This window comes from Homo sapiens, chromosome 6, assembly GCF_000001405.40.
Source record: "Homo sapiens chromosome 6, GRCh38.p14 Primary Assembly".
In the NCBI taxonomy this organism is placed as follows: Eukaryota; Metazoa; Chordata; class Mammalia; order Primates; family Hominidae; genus Homo; species Homo sapiens.
The window spans coordinates 169,736,829-169,763,826 of record NC_000006.12 but is presented as its reverse complement, the minus strand read 5'-3'; the positions used below and the strand labels follow the sequence as shown (position 1 = coordinate 169,763,826).

Here is a 26,998-nt window from a genome sequence, read left to right as displayed (position 1 = left end):
TGCTTTTGCTGGGTCCAAAACTTCCATGTGTTGGGTTTCATTTTCACTGGGTTCAAAGTATTTTCTAATTGTTGTTCCCCCAGAGATGAAAATGTAAGGCAGAGAATTGTATGAGATCTCCCAGGGAGAGGAAACAGAGGATGGGGTTGACGGCAGAGCATTGAGGAATGCCTACAAAGAGGGGCAAAAAGCAAAAGCCAAGCTAGAGAAAGAGACGAGAATCCGAGGTGTGGAGCGGCTGCACCTGCCCTCCCTCCACAACAGATCGTCCCGTGGGAAGCTGGGCACTTGGCCATCCAGGAACGCTTCCATGCCTCCCTGGCAGCAAGTGCGACTAAGCCCTGGCCCAAGGCCTGTGCTACCTCCAGGAAGTGTCCTTAGAGAGGGGCATGCACCAATCTTTGCTCTTCCTGCTGGCTGGAAAGCAGATGTGATGGCTGACACAGCCGGCTGGAGCCAGGAAGTAGTAGTCTCCATAAGGAAGGCCTGGCCCTCATCACTGGAAGACGACACAGAGGGGTCTGAGTGCTGATGATGGGGGTGCTGCCATCTCAGTGGGAGCTACTCACATCTGGGAAAGGCAGAAATGCACTTCTATCCTATTTCAGTCACTGCAGCCATATTATTTCGAGATCTCTGTCACTAAGCAGCAGGATCTTATCATAACTACTAAAAAGGAGCAGAAATGAGAAATTCTAGGAGCCAGAGGAGGTAGGCTGGAAACTCAGAGACGCTTGCCTCAGACAGGGCGACCGGGGGTCAATGTGGAACTCTGAGACAGCTGTGTGTACGCGTGTGTGTACACACATGGAGGGGCTCAAGAAACTGAGACAAAGGCTTTCATGACCTGCTGCAGGGCTGGCACCACACCAAGTCACCTCCAAATCCTACGTCTTCCATTTGTAAGATGGAGAAACTCAAGTTCAGAAGGTTTTGATTAGTTTCCCAAGGTCAGGTTCAACCACTGGTCACCTCAGTCTCCCGGCTAGACCGCAGCCATCTCACGCGGTTACAGTGACACACCATCAACACAGCTAGAGAGAGAACCAGTGCCTACTACGTTCACGGTATCATTGAGTTTTAAAGACTGTTTAGAAATATTACAGAAATATCAAAAACAATCATAAATAACATAAATATAAATCCTATAGAAATGATAGGCCTTCCACAGTTCTTAGCTAAATTAAAATCATTTTAATGTGAAACAGAATAACATTTTTAAAAACTTTTAATTGGTAACAGAAAACTGTTAATACAGCAACAATGATCACAATCAATAATAAAAACAAGCTTACCTCAGCAGTCAGGAGTCTTTTTGGACATCTGTTAAGTGTGGCAAAAACATTCCTAAGTCCAGTCTCCAGTTGTGTCAGCAACAATATGGCGCAGTCAGCAAACCTATGAAATTGAAGGGAAAAGAGGTAAAACTCCACATTTCAAAAATAAATATTAGGCCAGGTGCAGTGGCTCATGCCTGTAATCCCAGCATTTTGGGAAGCCAAGGTGGGAGGATCGCTTGAGGCTAGGAGTTCAAGACCAGCCTGGGAAACCCCATCTCTACAAAAAATTTAGAAATTAGCAGAGTGCAGTGGCACTGCCTGTAGTCCTAGCTACACAGGAGGCTGAGGCGGGAGGATTGCTTGAACCCAGGAGTTCAAGGCTGCAGTGAGCTATGACTGTGCTACTACACTCTAGCTTGAGTGACAGACTAAGACTCTCTAAGTAAAAAACAAGCAAAAAACAAAAATAATATTGACACCAACATCACAATAACTGCTGCAGTCTAGATATCAAAAGCAAAGAGAAATGATAATACTTGCTAATACGAGAAGCAAAACAGAACCAGCTGGGCGCAGTGGCTCAAGCCTGTAATCCCAGCACTTTGGGAGGCTGAGGCGGGCAGATCACATGAGGCTAAGACTTTGAGACCAGCCTGACCAATGTGACGAAACCCCGTCTCTACTAAAAATACAAAAATCAGCCAGGCGTGGTGGTGCATGCCTATAGTCCCTGATATTTGGGAGGCTGAGGCACAAGAATCACTTGAACCTAGGAGGCAGAGGATACAGTGAGCTGAGATCACACCACTGCACTCCAGCCAGGGTGACACAGTGAGACTCTGTCTCAAAAAACAAAACAAAACAAAACAAAACCACTTACACATAGAACAAAAGTTTCACTAACTAGTGATTTTAAAAACATTTTCCAGTGTTTTAATGTTTGATGAACCATTTTTAGTAGCTTCTACAGAATAAAATGTCATCAAAGGACTGTCTAACTCATTTCATTGCTTCTAGAAAATACTGAGGCTGGGTGCAGTGGCTCACTCCTATAATTCCAGCACTTCGGGAGGCTGAGTCAGGAGGACGATCACTTGAGCCCAGGAGCTCAAGACCAGCCTGGGGAATGGACTGAGACCTCATCTCTAGAAAAAGTACAAAAATTAGCCAGGCACAGTAGTGCACACTTACAGTCCTATCTACTCAGGAGGCTGAGGTGGGAGGACTGCTTGAGCCCAGGAGTTCAAGGCTGCAGTGAGCCGAGGTGGCTCCAATGCACTTCAGCCTGGAGGACAGGGTGAGACCCAGTCTCAAAAAGAAAAAAACAAAAATGCACATCCCAGGATTTCAGTGGGTTCTCAAGGCATAAAAATGAATGAATTAGGGTAATATCCTTTAAGGAACTAAAGATCAGCTCACCAGACCTTCTGGTGGCGACCATACATGTGTTTGCTCCTCAGGAAACAGAAACAGAATGTAAGGACGAAGCTGGCTTATCTATGTTTCATGATTCTGAACATGTTTCACTCATTCTAAGACTTCCAGAAAATATTAAAAAGTGGATCCTGAAAAATAATTCTATCACCTGCACCAAAAGGCAATGTTTCCAATATAATCACAGGCGGTCCTTGAAGCGACTCTATGAAGGTGTTTTATTTTCAGGTCTGCTCAAGTCAGTCCAGGTTCTCTTCACTTCTACTCCAACAGCAAAAAGCATCGAAAGTGAAGGGCATCAAGAAAGAATGGCCTCCAACCACTGCAAACCACTCTGCCATGTACCCTTTAGTTACCTGTGTGACTTGAACTTGACCAGTGCAACTTCCCAATATGGTAACATGATTTTTAATATAAAAGCAGATTTCATCATCACTTCTTCTAATACTGAAAGCACCTCATAAGTAACATCTGTAAAATAACACACGGTTTTAAACACAATCATACTGATCAACTGAAAAAAGATGGAAACATGCTGGGGGAGTGATGCCAATGAGCCAACCCCTTTAGGTGGCTGAACCGTGACCCCTGCAGCAGGGGACTTGTTAGAGAGTAGGATTGCCCTGACCAAGGGCCCGAGGTGCAGGTGACCCTTGGAAAGTGGGGCATGGACATCTCTTCAGTGACTTAGGCAACAGTTCAGGATGGACCAACTGAGCACAATGACCAAGAGAAGTAAAACACATTTTCAGAAGGTGTAAAAGACCCTTGATATTACTACAAGTATTTCTGGCATAATGATCATGAGTACAAAGACACAAGAGGTAAAAGGAGGAGAAAATGTACATCATACAACAGCCTGAGGCCACTGTTGCTCATAGTGCATCTGAGGAAGAAAGAGCTCAGCTCACACAGCTGCAACTCCTGTGACCCCCACAACAACCCCAGGGCATGGTGGGAGGAGGCAGGGCTTTGGGTGGTAAAATGTAGGAGGTTCTTCAAGCAACTCTGAAAGCCATCCGACTACTGAAGAACAACTACTTCACCCCACCTCAAGAGTGCACCTCTTAATGCTGTTTACTGACTTTGCAAATATCTACGCAAAGCTATAAGGAAAAATGTGAAACATAGTACTTACCAGGAAAAACAATCAAATCCTCGAGGTTTGTAAGAGATATGAAAGAGCGATGTGCCAATGTAAGTTTAGTGTTTTGAAGGTAACTCTTCAGTAACTGACCCAATCCTGCCGTCAACAGTATCATCATTGAACAGTATCTAGGAAATACCATAGAGATCTGTTACAAAAATGTACTCAATCATGCCTATAAAAAGCTTCACTGTGAAAAATACAAATTTAAAATTAAGAAAGCAAAGTTAAATTGCATGAAACTGTCCGATCACGGTGGCTCATGCCTGTAATCCCAGAACTCTGGGAGGCCGAGGCGTGCAGATCAGTTGAGCTCAGGAGTCTGAGACCAGTGTGGGCAACAAGGTGAAATCCTATCTCTACAAAACATACAAAAAAGTTAGGTGGGCATAGTGGCGTGTGCCTGTAGTCCCAGCTACTCAGGAGGCTGAGTCGGGAGGATCACTTAAGCCTGGGAGGAGGAGGTTGTAATGAGCTGAGAATGTATCATGGCACTCCAGCGTGGGTGACAGAGTGACACTCTATCTCAAAAAAAAAAATTGCACAAAATTCTCTCGATGTAGGAATTAGACTGTGCAGTAGTTGGGCAGCACAACAGCACCACAGACACTCTGATGAAGACCCTAATGAAACTCAGGGTCTCCCACCCACCCAGGACGTGAATGGCATAACATCCTTCTGGTGTCACCCCTGAATTGCCTTTGGGGTGTAAGTCACTGAAATTATAACCCAGTCATCACTCTGGTGACTACACTAGTAATATTCAATTTTAGCTTCAAAATCCTATCTCAAAACTCACTTATCTTTCACAAAATCTATTTCCTTCTCATGAAATTCAAAATTTAAAAAACTCTTTGGTAGATCCAAAAAAGGAAGAAAATGTCTTCACTTGCAACTTACTTTGGAGGAATTTCTTCAGGTGACGCAAACCCATGCCATAAGACGTTACGCAGGTTGAGACCACACGGAGAGCCAACGAAGACTTTTAGCACATTCATCTAATCCGCAAATCATTACATAGTTAATTATACTGAATTACTGAATAAACCAATATAGTATGAAGATAACATTTGTGTTCCTCTTTTTAACTGAGAGTCAACAGTTTTGGCTAGTATATAGCAGTAATAATAAAACCAACATTTACTGAGTGTTTAATATGTGCTAGACACATTTTGTACATGTACATCAACTCATTCATCCTAAGAACAACCTATGAGGAAGGTACTATGATTATCCCCAGCATCTAGGTGAAAAAAATACAAGCATGGAAAGGTGAAACCAAGGTCTCAAAGGCTACAAAATCAATATGGGGGATAAGATCTGACCCAGGTTATCCTGCTTTAATAAAGTTGCTTCAAATGTGCATAATATCTAAATAAAATGTAAAAAGACAATGATATGATAAGCAGAAACATATCACTGTATTAAGCAGCACGCAATTGTGTGGTTAAACAGAGGCAGCAGGGCAGATGCCCGAGCAGCATGGCTCCAGGCTTGAGCCTCCACTTCCTAGCTGTCTGACGTGAAGCCCATCACTTATCCACCCCACCATCTATCTACAGAGTGAAGAAAACACCCAACCAGGCGTCCTAATAAATGGACTGCAGTCATGTCATGCCCAGAGAACTGCTTTGGGTTTGAGGCGCCATACTTAGAAGAAACTCAGAACATAATGGAAGATGTTCAAAGACTAAAAGAATTCATGTCATAGGAGAAAGTATGGTTGAGCCTCCAGAAGACTCGAGAAGGAAGTGAACACTGTCTTCATGCATGTGAAAGATGGCTGTTGAGAAGGGAATATGGACGCATTCTGAACTTCCCTCAAGGGGAAGACCCAAAACCAGGAGGTGGAAATGATCAAGAGCAGTTCTACTGAATGTTGGAACATTTAACAAGCAGTTCTTCTATGCAACTTCAGGAGATCTTTTTGCTCTACCAATAATTTGTGAAATACTCATGGTTCACACTATCTGGTCAATCAGATGTATAAATGCCAGTGACCTGGCAGCTGAAGGGGCCACAAGTGGGCAGAAGGCCCATCACATATAAGCAAGTACCAAAGAACAGATCGAAGAAACAAAATGTGTTTGAGAATTCAGTGTAACAAGAGGTTTGTACTTTTTATCTTCATTCCATGCACTCCACAAAAGAAAATGATCTTTAAGCGGACAAGGAGTAAAGATCCACAGAAAAGAATGGAAAAGCTCCACTGAAGACAGATTTCTTTACTCCAAAAATCATCTAGCACCCTGGCTTGGCAAGCACAGCTTCCACACAAGGCTCTTCTGGGTTTCTCCATCTTGACCCTGCCTCAATCAGCTGCCTAAGGTTATTCATTAGTCCTAAGTCTCTTGATCATGTGCCCTTTATGAGATTTTAATATAGTATAGTAACTGCATGATTTTTTTAACATCTGAATTTTTTTCCACTGTAAGTTTAAATGGTTTCAAAAGATAATTTCACGTTAAAATTTTCAAATAAAACTGTATTATCACTCATTTAAAGGGTTAAAGTTGTATTCTGGATTTAGTATTATAGTTATTAATATGTAATTGATCGAGGCAACATGCTTCACATTGGCCCTGTGGTGCCCCAGAGTTATTCACACTCGGGATAGGAAAGCTTTCTATGTGCTGGAGGAGGGGCAATTTTGAAAGGGAAGGTGGGAAGGGAGAATATGCTTGAATCACTGATACAATTTTTCCCTAAAGCATCATCAGTTTGGGAAGAACAAAAGCTCAGCATATGTGAATTGTTGTTTTGCACTTACTCCGTGATATGGTTTGGCTGTGTCCCCACCCAAATCTCAACTTGAATTGTATCTTCCAGAATTCTCCCATGTTGTGGGAGGGACGCAGGGGGAGACAGCTGAATCATGGGGACCGGTCTTTCCCGTGCTATTCTCATGATAGTGAATAAGTCTCATGAGATCTGATGGGTTTATCAGGGGTCTCCACTTTTGCTTCTTCCTCATTTTTCCCTTGCTGCCGCCCTGTTAGAAATGTCTTTCTCCTCCTGCCATGATTCTGAGGCCTCCTCAGCCATGTGAAACCGTAAGTCCAATTAAACCTCTTTCTCTTCCTAGTCTTGGGTATGTCTTTAACAGCAGCATGAAAACGGACTAATATACTCCATGAGTTTAGATGAACAAGCTTACCACAGACTGACTGAAGACTTGAGCAAGCTCCTCAGATGAAAGCAGATCTCTTAAAAGAAAGGGGCATTCCTTCCCAATCAGTAAAAATACCTAAAATTCAAACAAAAATTGTGTAACAGTTGTATTATGAGCCAATAAACATTAAAAACATTATCCATGAAGCAACTGTTTGTACAAATGAAGGGTGAAAAGTACTTAGACACCAATCCTTTGATTTCATAATCATTCAAAAGGGAAATATTAAAAATTCATACTAAATGATTTTATCTTATAGGAAAATAATCAAGAAAACTGAGGACAACTGTAAAATAGTTTCATGTTCATTCAGATAATTTAATGGGCCAATAATGAAAGAGTTCTCACACTTACATCACCCAAGGCTCGTTCTAGACACGATGTCAGTTTCATTAAGCTAAGAGAAATAGCAGGAGATTGTAGACTTTCCAAGGCATCAAATATTTCAGGAAATAACTATTTACAATAAAACACATATTAGGATGTACACTCTGAAACTACTTCTCAAAGCAACAATATTATTTATTGAAATTCAAACCTCGAGAGATTTCAACTGCCATATTTTATTTTCAGTGAATAAGTAAACATTTTCTGTATAATTATATTGCCTAAAGAATCAATAAAAATATTTTAATAGCTAAAGAATTCCTTGAAGGTTCTTTATTTAAACGTTTATTGAAAGCAACAAATCTGGCACAATTTAAGTGGAAAAGTCAAGCATTTTGACCTCCATCATGTTTCTCCTTTTGATTTGGCTGAGCCCTCAAACAGATACACACAAGGCACTCATCCTGCCATTTAAAAGTGCTAGTACAAGGGGGACATGATGATTCCTTCACTCCAAATTCAAAGCAGAATTAGATTTGTTATAGTTACTGCTTTACTGGGGTCATTTAGTGTGCCAAATAAAATGAAGAAAAACTGACCAAAAAAACAAATGAAAACAAGATTTTGGGTTAGGCCCCAAATTACCCATACTCCCTTCAGTTCCCCATTAACAAACCAAGTATCCCAGCTCTGGTCTCCAGGCCCCACTGTCTTAGAACACCTCAATACCTCTCCACAACGCCTTATTCTGGAGTAGTAAATTTTTCCTCTATCCTTGGATGGGCACCGTGTGACAAATGTTAGCTCTCCAACCCCTAATCCTGTGATAATGAATTCAAAACCTTCCTGTGTTCCAAGGGGCATGTTTCTCAGCTCAGGCTTTGGAGACCCTGCATAATAGCCCAGGGTTCTCTTACAACCCTCAACACTTCACCGCTGGAGGGCCTGGGGATGAAGGAGGCCCCTTTAAAATTGGCAAATAGTACGTCCTCTAAGTAGTATTCGCACAGTCTTTTATTTCTAAAGGTTGTTCAAAAGCCAAACCTCTGGAAAACTTGTCCACTGGAACCACGGTGCATATCGAATTTCAAATTGCCCCTTGGTCAGAGATAAGAAATGTGAATGGACAGCCTCACACACAGGGCCCAGCAGCCTCACGCTTCCCCAGTAATCCAGACCCTGCTCTTAAAGGATAAGAAAACAAATTTCAGCACCATAGCTCCATATCACATGATATAAAATATCTACATCATCAAAGAAAAAAATGCTTTAATTATAAAATTTCCACAAAATCAACAATTAGCTTACCATTGAACATATGATATACTTTTATATTGTTGGAAATAAATCACATAATGCTTATCAGGTTATGAAAGAAAAATATACTATCAGCAGAGAATTTAGAAAATACAAAAAGTTTCAAACAAGAGAAAACTATTTTGTCAATGTCTTTACCTGTACATAAGAATACAGAAAACCAGGCTCACATTGTATATGTAATTTCGTAACCTGATTTTTTTTTTAATTAAACCAGGCTCACACTGTATATACAATTTTGTAACCTGATTTTTTTACGTTAACGTTATTAGGCTGAGATTTCTAATGGCAATGAATTGTTTTAAACATATTTATAATATGAAGTTTTTGTTGTTTTAATTTTTTTTGATAAGTTTGGGATTAACCATCTACTTGGTTCCTGATCAATGAATACCAAAGGGTAATTACAAATACATGCCCCTCCTATTCTTTTTCCAACTTAGCTCAGAGACTTCTGTATAAGATGAGCCTCCTCATTCTTTTCTACCACTGCATAATATTCCATTATATGAATTTATCATAATTTACTGAACCAATCCCCTACTGCTTGATGTTTGGCTGTTTATTTATTTAGCTATTATAAACAATGCTGCAAGGAATAACCTTGCACACACACATTTTCATATCTGTATCTGTCTTAAGGATTCCTGAAAACGGACTGCTAGGCCAGAGTATGTTCATCTGTAATTTTTATAACTATTATTAAATTTCCCCACCTATATCTCTGCTCCAAAGTGTGCAAGAATGTCTAGAAGACACTTAAAATAACTGTATAATCTATTACTGGTCATTTTCTACCCTTAATTCACATGACTCCTACAGAGAATCATCTCAAGGCCCTGAGATCTACATCATCAACAGCCCACCAGCCCCTCTGTGCCTCCTGACACCTCCTCTGTAGAGGTGGTTTTCTTAGCCCAGCTTTCCATTAACTTTTCCATGCTTCTCTGGCCTCATTCCCTCTCTTTTCACATTGATTCCTGTTCTCCTTGGAGTTAGGCCTGTATTATAACATTATCTAACAAAAGGAACCAATGGTCAGAAAGGGGAATTTTACAGGTCAAGACATTTTCAATGGGACAGTTATGAAAGTTTGGAGTACAAAGACAGCACAAACCTGACTCTGTGTAGCTCACACAGTCTGTGATTGTTTTCCAGCATACTTCACCATTCTGAGTTACAATGCTATTGATATCACAATTTTCTCTGAGTTGAAACCCAAGATTACAAATTATATCATACACTGAGGGAGAAAGACATGTGGTAATAGGGTCCCCTATTAATACCTAAAAAATAAAATAAAATAAAAGGCACTGCTTAACAGAAAGAAAAATAGAGTATTATATATTTCAGACACATCTCTTAAGAACTGAATGCACTCAGGTATAGTTGCTGTTAACATGCTTTCTGGATATCGTGAGAGCTGTATGATTAAAACATAGTGATTAAATATTAAAGATAATTTACATAAATGTTCTCAAATATGATAAAGGCTTAAAGACCTAAAATTATCAATCATAATATTTGCAAACTGCTCTGTCTATGGGGTAGCCATTGTTTATTCCTTTACTTTCTTAATAAACTTGCCTTTCACTTAAAAAAAAAAAAGAAAAAATACAAGTTCACGGAAGCTGAATGTGTTTTACGACCAGAGCATTATTGCTCTCAGCATTCCTTCACTATCCCAGAGTTATCAAAATAAGCAATTTTTTTAAATGGGGAATGGGAGAGCAGAAACCAAGTATAACGAACAAGAAGGAAAAAGAACCCCACGTACCTCTGACTACCTAAACGGTGTTGAAGAAAACCACAATGTCATCCCAAAACATGCCTCTTCGATATAAAAACAACAACAAATTTGAGCTGAAGACAAGAGGCAGCAAATGAAGGAAAAGCTCTCTCTATCCTCCCCCTCTTCCGCCCAAAGACAGGATATAAATTCTTTACTGGGGATAACTTTAGACTTACCAGACCAGTTAAGGTACCAGGGGAATCTGCAAACAATTCTTACTCCATTAGTTTCCGAATATGTATCTACCTTCCCAATTTCCTGCCCTTTGAAGCCTAAAACTGCTCTCCTGTGTCCTGTCACTTCTCTGCAAATCTACAGTTCTTTGTTGAAGATGGTATACAAATGTAGTTCTAAGCCACCATTTCAAGTTACTTCTCATTAAGGTTTATCCCTTGTGATGTGTACTCTGTCCAAGAATAAACTTTTTTCTTGTTATCCTTTCATTTGTTAAAGGGGTCACTCCGAACTAAGATGGGCAGAGGTAAAGTTTAGCCTTCCCTGCCATGTAAAAAGTAGCAAACCGTACTGGTTTTCCATGGAGAATTAAATACAATCGAAATCCTCACAATTACCCCACATGACACTAAGACCATCGTATAAACCTGCAAAGAAGTCAAATTCAGGATCTAAAGCGGAACCGAAGCTCTTTATTTTGGTGTGTTGAGTTAAGGGGGGGCTGTGTTGTGACAGTCATAATTAGCTCTGGGCAGCTTCCTAATGTGGAAACTGCTATCAGTTGCCCTGTTTGCTCCTCCTGCACCCAGAAGTTGCACTTTCCACTCTCAGCCCTGGTTTTCGAACAATCCCAGCAGGCCCTAACAATTAAGTCATCACTAAAGAAATCTACATCAACTATTTGTTGATTGGCGATTGTCACTCGCATCCTCCATGTGGCTCTATGGGGCTGGAACTCTGCAGACTACACTGGGCCGGTGCTTTGGAGCTGGACTTAAATTTGAATCATTCCTCAGCCTCTGACTACCTCTTGCCTTGGAAAAGTTACTTTATCGGAATCTCAGTTCTAAGTGAAATAAAACGGTGCCAGGCTGCACCTGGTAGGGCTACAGTAATCAGATAACACATGAAAAGCATCTAGCACATAGTACTCAAAAATGGTAGTTATCGTTATCATCATTTTGGAGACGGGGTCTCGCCGTCGCCCAGACAGGGGTGCAGTGGCGCGATCTCGGCTCACTGCAGCCTCCACCTCCTGGGCTAAAGCGATCCTTCCACCTCAGCCTACGGAGTAGATGGGACCACAGGCCCCACCACGCCCGGCGATGAACACAAATTTACTGTCCGAGTGTGGACCCTACAGGCAGCGACTAGGAAACTGCGCTTCTAGGAACGAGCCACGGTCAGGTGAGAGCCCGACCTGCGGCTTTCCGCCCCCGCGCCACCGCGCACAGCCCTCCCTGACCGTCCGCCGCGTTCCAGCTCAGGGCCAGGAGGCGACGGAGAAACCGAGCCTGGCCCAGGGAGGCCGGCAGGGCCCGCCAGGCGTCTTGCAGGGCCGAGCGTCCGATACCGCCACAGAGGCCAGGGCCGCGACGTCGCCAGCGCCCTCCAGCGCGGGACCGCCGGCCACCGCAGGCGCGTGCTCGCTCGCCCACTCCGCGTAGCCGAGCACCACCCAGCCTGGCGCCGACTCCCTGCCTAGCTCGGGATCGAACCGGGCCCTACACCCGCCCTACCTCCATAACTTCCGGTGCCCCGCTGCGGCGCGCGTGAATGACGCAGGCGCCTGCGCGCCCCTCCTCCAGGCGCTTTGGAGCCCTGGCGGGCACTTCCTACCGTACGAGGCGCAGGTGGGAGACTTCCGCCCTCGCGGGACTGGCTAGGGCGTTTGACCGCCGGCGGTGAAGGGGAGGCGGTGGGCGTCTTGGAGAACAGAGCGAGATGGAGAAGCGAGGCCGAGGCGTGAAGTCGAGCCCCATCCAGACCCCGAACCAGACCCCTCAGCAGGCTCCGGTGACGCCTAGGAAAGAAAGGAGGCCTAGCATGTTCGAGAAGGAGGCAGTGAGTGCGGAGACTGCTAGGGGCCCGAGACGGCTATGTCCGACCGTTTAAGTGAAATCGCTCCCCAGTGGGCCCCGCTCCCGTCACCACCCCCAGAGCCAAGGAGGCAGCATCTCCCTTTTGTGTTTCTTTTTTCCCCAGATGCGAAATTGAAGCCTGAGACTGAGTTGGGCAGTCCCCTTTGGACTTGAGTGCTAAAGTTTTCTTGTTTTTTAATTAGGGCCATAGAACCCTACATAAGTCGATTGGAAGGGTGGTTACAAGATCTTCTTTTCAAATTTACTCAGCTTGCGGATTTCCTGAGAGTACTCTGAGTATTATTGCTTTGTACTAAAACACAGTATGTTAGTGTATTTAGTGCCATTATAAGCAGTTTTGCTAGCGAAAAATGAGTGTGTTGTATTAAAAAAATAATTTGATAAACCAGGCAGAATAGTGCCATGTTTTGGGTTTTTAAAACATCAGCAGTCTGGATATTTGAAGAATGTACAGGAGAAAAAAACTTAAGTTGAAAATACCCTGTCCAAAACTTACTGATATTGATGGAAAGGGTCATTATTCAGTTTTATTGGTGGTATAACAGGTATTTCTATATGATTAGGCTTTGAAAACCGTTAATGTATTAAAGACTCTATATTTTATTGATACTTTAACAGAAAATTAGTTTGCCCAAGGATACAAAGCTGTAATGATAGAGCTGGGACCAGAACCTGTATGCTAGTACTCGGTCCAATTGGCCTATACTGGTTTCTCTTCGTACTTACTTCGTGGACCTATAATAGGATGAAGATAGAGATGACAGGCAAAACAATTTTTTGAAGACCCTAAAACATTTTAAGATTACTCTTAAAAAGAGAATTCTCAAAATAATGGCGAAATTTCAGGTTCTTGTTTCCCTGGTGTCTACATTTTACAGAGGAAAGAACGAACTAAATAAAGGAGGAAAAGCAAACAGGCCAAGTTTACACAGCTAAGAAAAAGAGCAGAGCAGGGCTAGAAACCTAAATCAGTTGGACTTAAAACTTCACACTCCCAAACACTATGCTGTATTTCTTGGCAATGAGTCTGAGTAACAGGTCACCAACAGTAAAGAAAAATTTCTATATATTGAGGCAGACAAGGGTGGCTTTTATAAACTTACTGCCTATCTGAGGTCTGAAGTGGTCTTTAAAATTCAATGAGCCTGAACTCAAAATGAGGAGACACATAGGTGCACCTGGTATATAGGTTAAAATCTGGGAGTGAGGGGACATGGACCAAAGTAATTATTAGTATTTGATATGGATGTGATCAATTATAGCTATCTTTAAAGTTGATTCTTTTAGAGGTGAGAAATTTGAATAGAACAATAATTGGGAAGAAATTGAGAAAGGACTCTACAAATGCTCACTAAATGTACCTGAGGAAACTGTTCACTTAGTTATTTCTAATTTAAGGTAGCTGTTAATTTCCCTATTTTGGAGCATAGGAAAATTTAAGACATACTGTTTCATCAATATGACCATCTCTTGATTTTATCTGTCTTGCCTCCATTTCTTTTTTTCTAGTGGTAGCACCTCAGTTAACTTTTAGAGAATTAACTCATCTGCAATTGTATAGAGCTTTGGTGAGATTGTCAGCTACTTCCCTTAACTTTTTAATAAGGATGAGACCCAAACTAAGCTAATTAGATGAATTCTTTGAAATAATGCAAAGAAAATGATTGAGGTTTATTCACATTGAAGATGAGAAGCTAAAGTGTTCCCTGTGTCTTTCTGAATCTGGTTCATCAGCCTTCTCTGCTGTTATGTAAACTGTATCTTTCCAATAAATTATACTTTGGCTTAACACGAATGAGTTCCTGTTGTTGCGATCAAAGGTAACAAAATGCGAAGTAGATTACTAAAATTGGAAAACGTGATTGTTCTCACTTGTGCACATGCATTGAAATTCTTAAATACAGCCGGGTGCAGTGGCCCATGCATGTAATCCCCACTTTGGGAGGCCAAGGCGGATGGATCACCTGAGGTCAGGAGTTCAAAACCAGCCTGGCCAACATGCCAAAACCCCGTCTCTACTAAAAATACAAAAATTAGCCGGGCTTGGTGGTAGGCACCTGTAATCCCAGCTACTCAGGGAGGCTGAGGCACGAGAATTGCTTGAACCCGGGAGGAGGAAGTTGCAGTGAGCCGAGATCATGCCACTGCACTCCAGCCTGGGCAACAGAGTGAGACTCTTGTCTCAGAAAAGAAAAAAAAAATCTTAAACACTAGCATGTGGCATTTAGAAATAAAAGTAATATCTCCTGCCCAAGCTCATTTTATTTTAGGGCTATATGTAGGCTCAATATAAGGAAATGCTATATCAGTAGAAACTCAGGTATTATTAGATGCCAAAAAGTTGATCATATTTAAAGCCTATTCCCAATTTAAAAAAGATTATAAAGATTCTTAATAAAAGGAATAAAATACTCTTAATAAGTATAGCAAGTCAGCCAATATTATACACAAAGGAGAAATGGTACAGATGTAAATTTTCAGCATATTAGAAGCATTAATGGTTATTTTCAGGCCACACACGAATGCCCCATTTCCTTAAGAATCATTGCAGTTGAAAGCCGCTGTTAATGATACTATGTAGTTGCATCCCTTGAGTATATTGTGGAGGAAAGGAAGGTCCCAATCACTGCCTTAGAGAAGCATTCTCTTAATAAACAAGAACAAAATGATTTTGTTTTTAAGAGGTTTAGGGAGCTAATAATGCTGCTTTTGCAGTTAAGAGACACAGAAGCCTGACAGATGATCACAAGAAGAGATTTATTTATGTGAGGGACTTCTACTCGCAGCCAATATGGAGTAATTCTTATCAGAAACTACTTAAAGTAACACACAAAAATGTATGGAACAATTGTTTCCATTGATTTAGGTGTCAGGCAGGACGAGAGTGATTTCCAAGAGATGAGAAATAGGTAAGGTGAACCCCAATATTGCCCCCACCTTAATTGCCTGGTGAGAGTTTCCAGGCTACAACACAAGGAAAGGCCTCCTTTATTTCAAAAGGAGTTAGGAGCCTGGGAAGCCAAGGTAGCATGAGACTGGAGAGCAGAGTATTAAGACAGGGATGCACAAACCGCCCCAAAGACCTACAGAGGGTTTCCCAGAATATTCAGCTGAGTGCAGCAGTGCATCTGGTGAGGAAGCTTCTCACCAAAGGTGGAGAGTGGAGGTGGAGAAAGAATCACCCAAAAGGAACAGAAAAAAAATCCTTGGACATGTTCCCACCAGAAAAAGTGGAAAATCATGAAAAATACAGGGCTTTGGTTAGCGTGCTAAGACGTGTATTGCCTCAGTAGTGGGAAAAAATAGAGAACAAGTTCTCTGATCTGGCTTATCAAGGTTGAGAAGCAAGGCTAAAGAGGATTAAACTGTTTCCAAATGTCTTTGTTCTAGAAGAAAGCTCAAGAGTCTTAGGAATACAAAAATATCCAGCCTATAAGAAGGTAAAATTCACACTGTCTGGTCTTTAAATATTAATAGACCTACAGAAAAGCACGAAAATAAAGTTCAAAATTGAAGAAGCAGTAAAAACAGCCCAGAAATTACACAAAAATAGAATTAGTATAAACAGACATTAAAGTAGTTAAGAGAGTTATTAGTTTTCGTCAAATTTAATCATATGAAGTTATTATAATTACATTCCATATATTTAAGAGTGTAGAGAAAGACTGAGCATGTTAAATTCAAATTGAACTTCTGTAGATGAAAAATACTATGTCAGGGATGAAAATACACTAAATGGTATTAACAGCAGATTCAACAGTGCAGAAGAAAGGACATTTAGAGATGTGGAAATTGGGGGGGATGCTGAAAAAATATTACACGATGTCAATGAGCTTTGACAGAACTTAAAGTTGCCTAACGTTCTTATAATTTGAGTCCCCAAAGAGGTGAGAGAGGACAGACAAAAAGTACTGGAAGAAATAAGGAATGAGAAATTTTCAAATCTGTTGAAAACTATAAACCCACAAATCTAAGAGGCTCAGTGAACTCCAAGCACAAGACACATGAAGAAAATTATGCCAAGACATAGAATAATAAAATTGCTTGAAACCAGTGACTTAAAAATTTAAAGGCAACTAGAACAAAGGAACGTTACACACATAGAAACAGACAAAATGACAGCATACTTCTCAGAAACAATGCAAGACAGAAGACATCGAAGCATCATCTTTAAGGATTGAAAGAAAATGACTAACAACCTAGAATTCTATACTCAGCTAAAATATCGTTCAAAAAGCAAAGGTAAGACTTCCAGCTTCCTTAAAGTCCCTACTATGTCCTAACAAGTAAAAAGCTGAACAAACTGAAAAAAGTGAGGTCACAGGACAAACTGCTGCCCCCAAAAGTAGATTAACAAGCAGCAGTTTGCTCTGTGACCTCACTCCAGCCCTCCTTAGCCATCCTGTGTGACTTAAGCAAGTAGGGAAAAAAACAAAAAACTCAGAAACATATGTGAAGTTCACAGTCCAGAAGCACAGGTTCACTAAAATACCTAGTCATACAACTACAGAATGCTTCCTCTCCGTTAATACATTACCAGCACATTGCCAGAGGCCTTGTTAACAGCAGTTTCTTTACCTGGTGAATCATGTCTGGCTATCAGGAAAAAAATTAGGCATACTAAAAACAACAACAAACACACAGAGTGAGCAGCAGAACCAGACATGGCAGGGATGTTGGAATTATCACAATTTAAGTAACTATGATTAATATGTTAAAGGGCTGTAGTTGACAAAATAGCATGCAAGAACGGATGAGCAATGTAAGCATAGAAATGGAAATCCTAAGAAAGAACTAGAAATGCTACACATCAAAAAACACTGTTACAAAAGAAGAAATCTCAAATTTAAAAAATATTTTGAGCTAAATAAAAATGAAAACATACCAAAATTTGTAGAGTGCAGCAAAAATGGGTTGGAAGGAAATGTATAGTATTGAATGTGTGCATATATTAGAAAAGAAGAAAGAGCTAAAATAAGCCTCAAAGAAACTAGAAAAAGAAGAACAAATTAAATCCAAGAAGAAAAGAAATAATAAAAATTATAGCAGAAATTGATGAAATTGAAATCAGGTACCAACAAAACCAAAAGCTTTTTCTTTGAAAAGATCAATAAAATCTATAAGCCTCTATGCAGGCTAAGAAAGAGAGGACACACATTACTAATAGCAGAAATGCAAGTCAGGATATTGCTAGAAATTACATGAACACTATAAATATAATGAAAGAATATTATGAACAATTCTGTGCCCAGAAATTTGATAACCTAGATGAAATGGACCAGTTCCTTGAAAGATGCAATTTCCCAAAAGTCATACAAAAAGAAATAGATAATCTGAATAAGCATATATCTGTTTTTAAAACTTGAATCAATAACAGCCTTCCAAAGCAGAAATCACCAGGTTCAGGTGATTTCCTTGGTGAATTCTACCAAGCATTTAAGGAAAAAGTTATATCAATTATTACAATCTCTTTCAGAAGATAAAAGCAGAGAGAATACTGTCTAACTCATTCTGTGAAGTCAGCATTACCCTAATACCAAAGGCAGACAAAGATGCTACAAAAAAAGCAAATTACAGACCTGTATCATGTATTAACACTGATGCAAAAATTCTAAACGAAATACTAGCAAACTGAATTCAGCATTTTATTTAAAGGATTTGACACCGAGGCCAAGTGAAATTTGTTCCTGGAATGCAAGGATGGTCCAACATATGAAAATCGATCAAGGTAATACACCACATTAACTAAATGAAATAAACCACATGATAAATCTCAATTGATGAAGAAAACTATATGTCAAATTCAACACTCTTTTATTATAAAAACACCCCAAAAACTAGAAATAGGAGGAAACTACTTCAACCTAATAAAAGCTCTATATGAAAACTGCACAGCAAATGCTGGGTGCAGTGGCTCATGTCTGTAATCCTAGCATTTTGGGAGGCCAAGGCAGGTGGATCACGAGGTCAGGAGATCAAGACCATACTGGCTAACATGGTGAAACCCCGTCTCTACTAAAAATACAACAACAACAAAAAAATTAGTTGGGAGTGGTGGCATGCACCTGTAGTCCCAGCTACTCAGGAGGCTGAGGCAGAAGAATAACTTCAACCTAGGAGGCAGAGGTTGCAGTGAGCCAAGATCGCGCCACTGCACTCCAGCCTGGGCGACTGAGCAAGACTGTCTCAAAAAAAAAAACAAACAAAAAAAACTTCACAGCAAACATCATACTCGATGGGGAAACACTGAAAGCTTTTCCTGTAATATTAGTAACAAAGCAAGGATGTCCACTTTTGCCACTTCTTTTCAACATAGAGCTGGAAGTTCTAGCCAAGCAATTAGGCAAGAAAAAGAAATTCCTGGCTATTAATAAAATGAAGCTTACTGCTTTAACTTAAGAGGTTAGAGCATTTATCTGGGACATATTGGGCACTAAGCAAATATTTCATTAATGCATATTGGATGTCACAGAATGGATGTTTCATGTCAAAAGCATGAACTGATATATATATCAAATCAATGCTCTTTTGGTGTCTTTTCACCTTAAGACTTACGAATGTGCTATCTAAATAATTGTATTATTTAAAAATAAGTAAATGAAGTAAAATAAAATTTTAAGACAATGAAGGATAATATTTTCATAATCTCAGGGTAGGGAGGAAGAAAGGTTTTCCCTATATCTCCATCCCATAGCCACTCAGTTGCCCTCCCTGGAGGCCACTCTTGTTTCTAGTTCCTTTGGATCATCCATGGATATTCTAAATATATGCATGCAATTTGTATGTATATGTTTGTGAGTATAGATAAAAGAATAAATAGTATTCCTATTTTTTTTTGCCAAATTGATAGCCAGGAGTGAATCTAGGATTTAGCAACCACATTATTGTAGAAATCTGTTTAACAAATTTCCAAGCTTTGTGTGAGCCCTGTCCCACTGTACAGGCTTATTTAATCTGAAAACTCATTTACAGTTTAAAAAGTAATCTTTCTGCCTTTCTCTCTTCCCCTCTCTCTTTCTCCTCCAGTATACACAGATTTTAAGAGAAAGACTGAGAGAGTCAATTCACAATGTTCAGTATGTGGAGCCTCCTTTTGATGACTCAATTGCTGATATAGGTAAAGAATGGAAGAGTGCCCTGGCAAAATTAAAGTTTGCTAATTCATATAGAATGGAGCCATTGAAGAAATTCCAAGCTCATTCAGTAGAAACTAAAGTCCAGCAGATACTAACAGTAGGTTGATAAATATATATGATAGCAGTATTGTATGAGGGTTCTACAGAGAAACAGAAATTATATATACGAAGAAATTTATTCCAGGAATTGGCTCATACAATTGTCACTAGAACCAGAAGGTATTGTGTCATTGGTGCAGGCACAACAAGTTAGTTAATCAGAGATGTGTAGTCTGTCTGCTAGGTGTCCAGTTCTGCTCCTGGTTTGTAAGAGTAATGCTTTATAGTCCACAAGCCATGTCCATTTCCTTCAAGCTATACATTAATTTATTAATAAACATGGTTAGAAATCTTTGATTTCATTTTCCTGGAGGCCAGAGAAAAATTAGTGGAGTGAGAGACTAGAGGGGAGGGCTGGAAAGAAGTAGTTTTAATATGAGCCCACTGAGCAGGGCAGTGACTTGGTACAGGTTCTGAGTCCAAGTAATCTTCAGTATAAGAAAACCAAAATCTGAATTTTAATAAATGTATAAATTTAAAAAGGTTTCTTTCCTTTACCTAAGAATTTCCTTTACCTTCTAGAAGTCTTCTTTAGAAAATCTCCTTGTGTCTATTAACTGTTTGGCAGAGTAGTCTAGTAAATTACAACTTACAGCTTGTATCGCTAATGAAAAGTAATTGAATATAATTTGAAAACCCCAATAAATATTCCTCAAAATTGTTACTGAAATAGGTAAGCATAAAATTTATTTAATATTATTTAGTTAGGAATATATTTATTTTAAAACAGTTATATATATATTATTTAGACATGTTTTCTACTTGAATTTTTATATAGAAAATATTTGGTTTGAAAATAAAAGTATTTTTCTTAAATTTTCTTAAAGGAAAGTCTTAAAGATGTCAAATATGATGATAAAGTATTCTCTCACTTGTCACTTGAATTGGCAGACCGCATACTGTTAGCAGTCAAAGAATTTGGGTACCACCGTTATAAGTTCATTATAAAAGTATTATTTATTCAAAAGACTGGCCAAGCAATAAATGTAAGTACCCCATTGATACAGGATCTAGCAATTAGAACTATAAGGCATCTCCTCCCTAGTGATTTGATTTTTATTGTGATGACTCAAGGGCATGCCATAGATTCTGAGGTACTTTTTGAAGGAAAGTATCATGTTGTTAAGTATATTTATTTCACTGTAAATTATTTGAAAAGTACAAACCAGCTGGGTTCGTTGGCTCATGCCTGTAATCCCAGTAGTTTGGGAGGCTGAGGCAGGTGGATCACCTGAGGTCAGGAGTTTGAGACCAGCCTGGCTAACATGGTGAAACCCCGTCTCTACTAAAAATACAAAAATTAGCTGGGCATGGTGGTGGGTGCCTGTATTCCCAGCTACTCGGGAGGCTAAGGCAGGAGACTCACTTGAGACTGGGAAGCAGAGGTTGCAGTGGCCCGAGTTCGCTCCACTGCACTCCAGCCTGGGCAACAGACTCAAAAAAAAAGAAAGAAAAGTACAAACCTAGAAGTAGCAATTTGGTACTACTAATTTATTAAATTGCACTGCTATTCTGTTCCTTGATCATATCAATTTTGACAGTTTAATGTCATTTAAGTTAACCAGTAAATTTATTTTGGGCACTAATAGGTGTTAGGTACTAAGGAAAATCAAGGAATGATAAAACACGGACCATGATTCTCAAGGAGATTTTACTCTACTTAAGGAGATAAAGCAGCACAATTTAGAATTCAGGGAAATAAAATGATAGGGATAATGTAAACAGCCTGGGTTTTGGAGTCAGATTGCCTCTGCCACACTTGCTGGCTGTGGCCTTGGCACAGTTTCTTCATCTATAAAATGGTGATGATAAAACTGGCTTCCTAGAGCTGTTGTGAAGATTAAATGAAATTATCTGTATTAAAATCCTTAACATAATCACCAGCACAGAGCCCTCAATAAACAGCAAGGTAATTATAAACATTATTTATTAATAAAGAGATAATATCACTAGGCTGTGTAATTATGTAAGGAGTTGGTAAGGAATATGTGGGAGTTGGAGAGAAAAGAGAGAAAAAGCTGTGTTTGGAAGAATCTGTAGAGGTTCCATAGAGGAGTGGACTGCATGATGAAGCATGGGGAGGGGGACCTGGACTGGCAGAGGGGTACTGGCGAGAGAACCGCCAGTCAGCAAGAAAGAACCGTCCTGGCTCCCATGGAGAAGAGAAGCTGCACCACATATGACATACAGACTTAAGAAATAGGGACGTTGTAGATGATAAGTGCTACAAAGAGAACATTAAGGTAGGGATATGACAGAGTAGCAGAGTGGCTACTTGGGATTGTTTAGAGAAGGGAGAACCCTCTGATGTTCAGATAAGAAGGAACCAGCTGTACCAAAGAGAAGGGAGAATGTTCCAAGCAGAGAAAACTTCAAGTGCAAAGATCCTGAGGCAGGGATGACTTGGAGTGCTTGATATGTAACAAGTGTAGCTGGACTAGTAGCTAGTAGATAGTGGCATGATGTGCAGTGGGGGAATGTTTCAGCTTATATTATTGTATAACAAACCACCCCAGAACTGAGTATCTTATAACAACAGCCATGTATTTGCTTACTTTCTGTGAGTCAGCTCAGCCTGGGTCAGCTACTTGGCTTTTCTGCTGGTCTCACTGATGCACTTGTAGCCCTCTAATGACTTACCTGGGCCTGCAGGTCCAAGATGGCTTCTGTCACTTGTCTGACTGGTGGGCTAGCTGTGGCCTGGGCACCTGGGTTCTCCTGCATGTGAGCCAGCATCCTCCAATAGGTTGAGTGGGCTTTCATAACATGGGGGTCTCAGCATAGTGTTCCACGAGTGTGAGAGCAGAAGCTACAAGACCTCTGAAGGCCTTGCTTGGAAGTTTCACAGTGTCATATTTTACAACTCATAGCAAGTCACAAGGCCAAGACTTATTCACAGGGTGGGGACATAAAGTCAACTTCCTAATAGGAGAAGCCATAAAGAATTTGGGCCTTTTTCGGCCAGACGTGGTAGCTCATGTCTGTAATCCCAGCACTTTGGGAGGCTGATGCGGGTGGATCAGCTGAGGTCAGGAGTTCAAGCAGCTTGGTCAACATGGTGAAACCCCATCTCTACTAAAAATACAAAAATTAGCTGGATGTGGTGGCAGGCACCTGTAATCCCAGCTACTCAGGAGGCTGAGGCAGGAGAATCACTTGAACTCAGGAGGTGGAGGTTGCAGTGAACCGAGATCACGCCATTACACTCTAGCCTGGGAAATAAGAGTGAAACTATGTCTCAAAAAAAAAAAAAAATTGGGGCCATTTTAGATCCTCCACAAAGAAGTGGGCTGGAATCAGATCACATATGGGTTTGTACACAGAGAAAAGGAGTTAGAATTGTCCGTAACAGCCTACTTGTATAGTTACTGCCATTTCTTCATTTCAAGGCAAGGCCCTGACAAACCTCTTTGGCTGAAAATCTTTAAAGGGTGGGAAGACTTCCTTATCATGGACTACATGGCAGAGTCATACTGTATGCAGAGCCACTACATCCCCATTCCCAGGGGCCTTCTGCTCCTGGCCCTGGAAACACAGCTAAGGGAGCCTCTCTCTGTTTAGAGAAAGGCCAGCCTCCGGTAAAGAAGAAGGATGGGCTGGGGCAGCGTCATTCTCCAGGCTCTTTATGAAAGGGAAAACCAGACAAATTACATCTTAAAAATAATTTCTGAGATACTGATGCATTCATTTTTAAAAAACTAGTGTAGATTTGAAAATTACTTCTTAATATGTTCAATCTAAAGTTGGTCTTTACAAAATTTCTCTCACAGATTGCCAGCAGATGGATCTGGGACATTGCATGGGACAGCTGGGTCGCAGCTAAACACGAAGCAGAATCCTACGTGGCACTGGTCTTGGTGTTTGCCCTTTATTATGAATAGCTCATTACAGGTACTAAGGATTGTTTACTTCCGAACTTTTCAAAAATAAATGAAATTTACATATTTGTAAACCTCATAATATTTCTGATTTGCTATATTCTTATTCTCATTTGAGGCCTTTCAATTGTATTATTTTAACAACAAAGTAGAAGCCAGATTTTTATATTTATACTTACTGTTATATTAACTAACATAATATTATGCCAAAGTAGTATAAAAGGTGTATGCATGTGTGTCTGTGTGTGTATATATGTATGTATATACAAATTCTTATAGTAGAGTATAGGGAAAATATCATTTTTGTAAGATTTAAGAAAATGATAATTTGCTACAGGAAATTAAAATGCAACCTTGTAAAGTATCAAATTCAGTAGATGTTAAGATAGATTTTGGAAATTTCTAATGATATTTTAATACTTTGTATTCATTGTTTTGAAAGGAATTACCAAGTTTGAAAGAAAGATGTTATTATATTTCATAATTCCCTAATATCCTCCCGCTCCAGCCAAACTGCTTACAAGTGTGTAGTCAATTTACTAATCTATTAGGCTCTGTTAGGCTCTGTGAGCCTTCTAGGATCTTTTTTTCAGATGCAAGAACTGAAAATTCATATTAATTGTTTAAAGAAATGAGGAAAATTTTATTTCCCAGGGATTTGATCAAGGATCCAGGTTCTCTCCAACTTCCCATTCTCCCCACAGACTTCCACGTACATTCATTTTGCTTGACAGAATTTAATCATGTTCCTATGACTAGACCAGTTGTAATTCCCTCCTTAAGATTGGGGCTGGAGCCTACCTTTTCTGAAGCGTGAGATCATGTGAAAAGTGTGGCTATTTGCCAGCCACAGTGGCTCACTCCTATAATCCCAGCACATGGGAAGGCCAGGGTGGGAGGATTGCTCTAGCCCAGGAATTTGAGACCAGCCTGAGCAACATGGCAAGACTCCATCTCTTAAAAAAAAAAAAAAAAAAAAGGAGAAAATTGTGGATCCAGTGTACAAATTGGGACTCTTCTAGCAGGGAGGCAGGGTGTGCACTTGTGGGAGGCAAGCAATACCTGTGATAATCAGTATGATTTTCATCATTACAACCAGAACTGAAAACAACCATGTCAATATTGACAAGTAAAAATACCTATTAGTTGAATTATCTATAAACAAGGAGATAAAAATGGCAGAGAAGGGTTTTTTTTTCCACTTAGGTTTTATAATGAGTTGGTGTCAGTTTCCACTTATGAGAGTTAAGGAGCTGAAATATGATTCCTGCCTGAATAGATCCAAATGGAGTTTGGCTGCGGGAGTGCATGAAAGTTTGGCCAGAATTATTCTTAGAAAATCACTCCAGCTCCCTCCTGCTGCCTTGTGAAGAAGGTGCGTTGCTTTCCCTTTGCCTTGCGCCATGATTTTAAGTTTCCTGAGGCCTCCCAGCCATGCAAAACTAGGGGTGGGGCCAAGACGGCCGACTAGAAGCAGCACCATGTAGGAGGCTCCTATGGGAAAAAAAGCATAAGCATGTGAATCCTTCACCAGCAACCAAGGTATCCAGGTTCTCTCATCAAAATTGACTAGAAGGCTGGCATTACCCACACAGAGAAGGAAGAGCAGTGTGGTGTGGCAGCCCACCTGAGAGCCACATGGGGAAGGGGAACCCCCTTCCCCCAAGCCAGGGGAGGTGGTGAGTAAGAGTGCTACCCAGCCAGGGAAACTGTTGTTTTTCCATGGAACTGTGCAACCCACAGATCAGAAGATTCCACTTGCAAACCCACGCCACTGGGGCTAGCATCACAACCCTGGAACGCGCAGATTCGTACAGCCTCTCAGCTGGAATCTGCTTAAGCTTACCCAATTCCCATGAGGAAGGGTGGCCAGCACTGGCTGCAGCTGCCTGATGTCTAAGCCATTTGAACTCCTTGTGGGAGGGGCAGCAGCCAGCACTGGGACTTGCAACTGCCTAACATGCTAAGCCCCCTGGGTAGGGGAAGGGCAGCACCCATTTCTATAGTTCCAGGCTGCGCTTTTCCCCTGCTGGAGCCAGGCAGGCTGGACAGCTTGGTCCCATGACTTGTCCCCACAGCCCAACACACCAGCTGTGGCAGTCTGCGGCCAGAGTGCCTCTTCAGGTCTAACTCTGACCCATCCTTCCTCAGTGGCTTTCCTGCAGGATCTCCAATAACTCCAGCCAGAGGCTCAGGGACAGAATTTGGATCTCCCTGGGCCTGAGACCCTAGTGGGAGGGGTGGCTGCAGTCTCTGTGGACCAGCAGGCTTAGCCTCTCCTCCTGGTAGTTCTGAGTAATCCAGGCAGCCCAGACAAGTGGGTTTCCCCCAGTGAAACATACCCTCTCTACTAAGGGACAAATTGCTTCATTAGATGGGTCCTGCTCCCTGTGTCACCCAACTGGGTGAGACCCTCCAACAGGGGTTGTCAGATACCCTATACAGGAGTGATCCTACTGGCATCAGGCTGGTGCCCCTCAAGGTCAGAGGTCCCAGAAAAAGGAGCAGGCACCCATCTTTGCTGCTTTCCAGCTTCCTTGAGTGACATCTCCAGGTATAAGAGCAAATCAGATGAGTAGGGCCATTCACCCCAGCAAACTGCAGCAGCCCTACAGAAAAGGGGCCTATTTAAAGAAAAACAAAGAAGCAGAAAATGACAACAACAACAACAAAAAAGGCCCCCACAAAAACCCCATCTAAGGGTCAGCAGCCTCAAAGACCAAAACTAGACAAACTCATGAAGATAAGAAAGAATCAATGAAAAAAATGCTGAAAACCCAAAAGGCCAGAGTGCCTCTTTTCCTCCACATGATCACAGTGTCTCTCCATCAAGGGCACAGAACTGGACGGAGGATCAGAGGGATGAATTGACAGAAGTAGACTTCAGAAGATGTGTAATAAAAAAATTATGATCAACTAATGGAGCATGTTCTAACCCAATGGAAAGAAGCTAAGAACCTTCATAAAAAGTTAGAGCAATTGCTAACTAGAATAACCAGCTTAGAGAAGAACATAACCAACCTGATGGAGCTGAAAAACACAGCATGAGAACTTCGTGAAGCATACACAAGTATCAACAGCAGAATCGACCAAGTGGAAGAAAGGATATCAGAGTTTGAAGACCACCTTACTGAAATAAGATATACAGACAAGAATAGAGAAAAAAGAATGAAAAGGAATGAACAAAGCCTCCAAGAAATATGGGACTTCATAAAAAGGCCAAACCTACGATTGATTGGAGTAGCAGAAGGAGATGGGGAGAATGGAAACAAGCTAGAAAACACACTTCAGGATATTATCTAGGAAAACTTCCCCAACCTAGGAAGACAGGCCAACATGTAAATTCAGAAAATACAGAC

At 40.8% G+C, this 26,998-nt stretch overlaps 2 protein-coding genes across 20 annotated transcripts in view, besides 1 other annotated feature; one reads left to right on the top strand and one right to left on the bottom strand.

Annotated features, from left to right (window-relative positions):
• ERMARD (ER membrane associated RNA degradation) overlaps positions 1–12,521 on the bottom strand; it is a 30,295-nt gene extending 17,774 nt beyond the window's left edge. For 7 of the 16 annotated variants that reach the window (NM_001278531.2, NM_018341.3, NM_001278533.2 and 4 more), the window contains exons 1-9: positions 12,164–12,205; positions 9,795–9,963; positions 8,405–8,544; positions 7,388–7,489; positions 7,019–7,108; positions 4,762–4,859; positions 3,853–3,989; positions 3,071–3,185; positions 1,296–1,398 (exon numbers count right to left, since the gene is read on the bottom strand). In NM_001278531.2, the coding sequence (NP_001265460.1) occupies positions 1,296–1,398; positions 3,071–3,185; positions 3,853–3,989; positions 4,762–4,859; positions 7,019–7,108; positions 7,388–7,489; positions 8,405–8,544; positions 9,795–9,963; positions 12,164–12,169 (960 nt within the window). In that variant the 5' untranslated portion in view covers positions 12,170–12,205. The other 9 variants (NM_001278532.2, XM_047419023.1, NM_001410957.1 and 6 more) reach the window with 6 other exon arrangements.
• The window catches only part of DYNLT2 (dynein light chain Tctex-type 2), a 26,482-nt gene continuing 11,738 nt past the window's right edge, over positions 12,255–26,998 (top strand). The window contains exons 1-4 of one of the 4 annotated variants that reach the window (XM_006715554.4): positions 12,255–12,488; positions 19,553–19,643; positions 20,653–20,747; positions 23,532–23,652. In XM_006715554.4, coding sequence (XP_006715617.1) covers positions 12,369–12,488; positions 19,553–19,643; positions 20,653–20,747; positions 23,532–23,642 — 417 coding nt within the window. In that variant the 5' untranslated portion in view covers positions 12,255–12,368 and the 3' untranslated portion in view covers positions 23,643–23,652. Of the gene's footprint in view, positions 14,318–19,552; positions 19,760–20,588; positions 20,748–23,531; positions 23,719–26,998 lie in introns of those variants that run through there. The other 3 variants (XM_011536093.4, NM_174910.3, NR_138070.2) reach the window with 3 other exon arrangements.
• Positions 15,068–15,268: a silencer, noted in NCBI's record as "peak6328 fragment used in MPRA reporter construct". NCBI's record gives its function as "represses an SCP1 promoter by STARR-seq MPRAs in K562 erythroleukemia cells {active_cell/tissue: K562}" and the evidence as "EXISTENCE:reporter gene assay evidence [ECO:0000049][PMID:32103011]".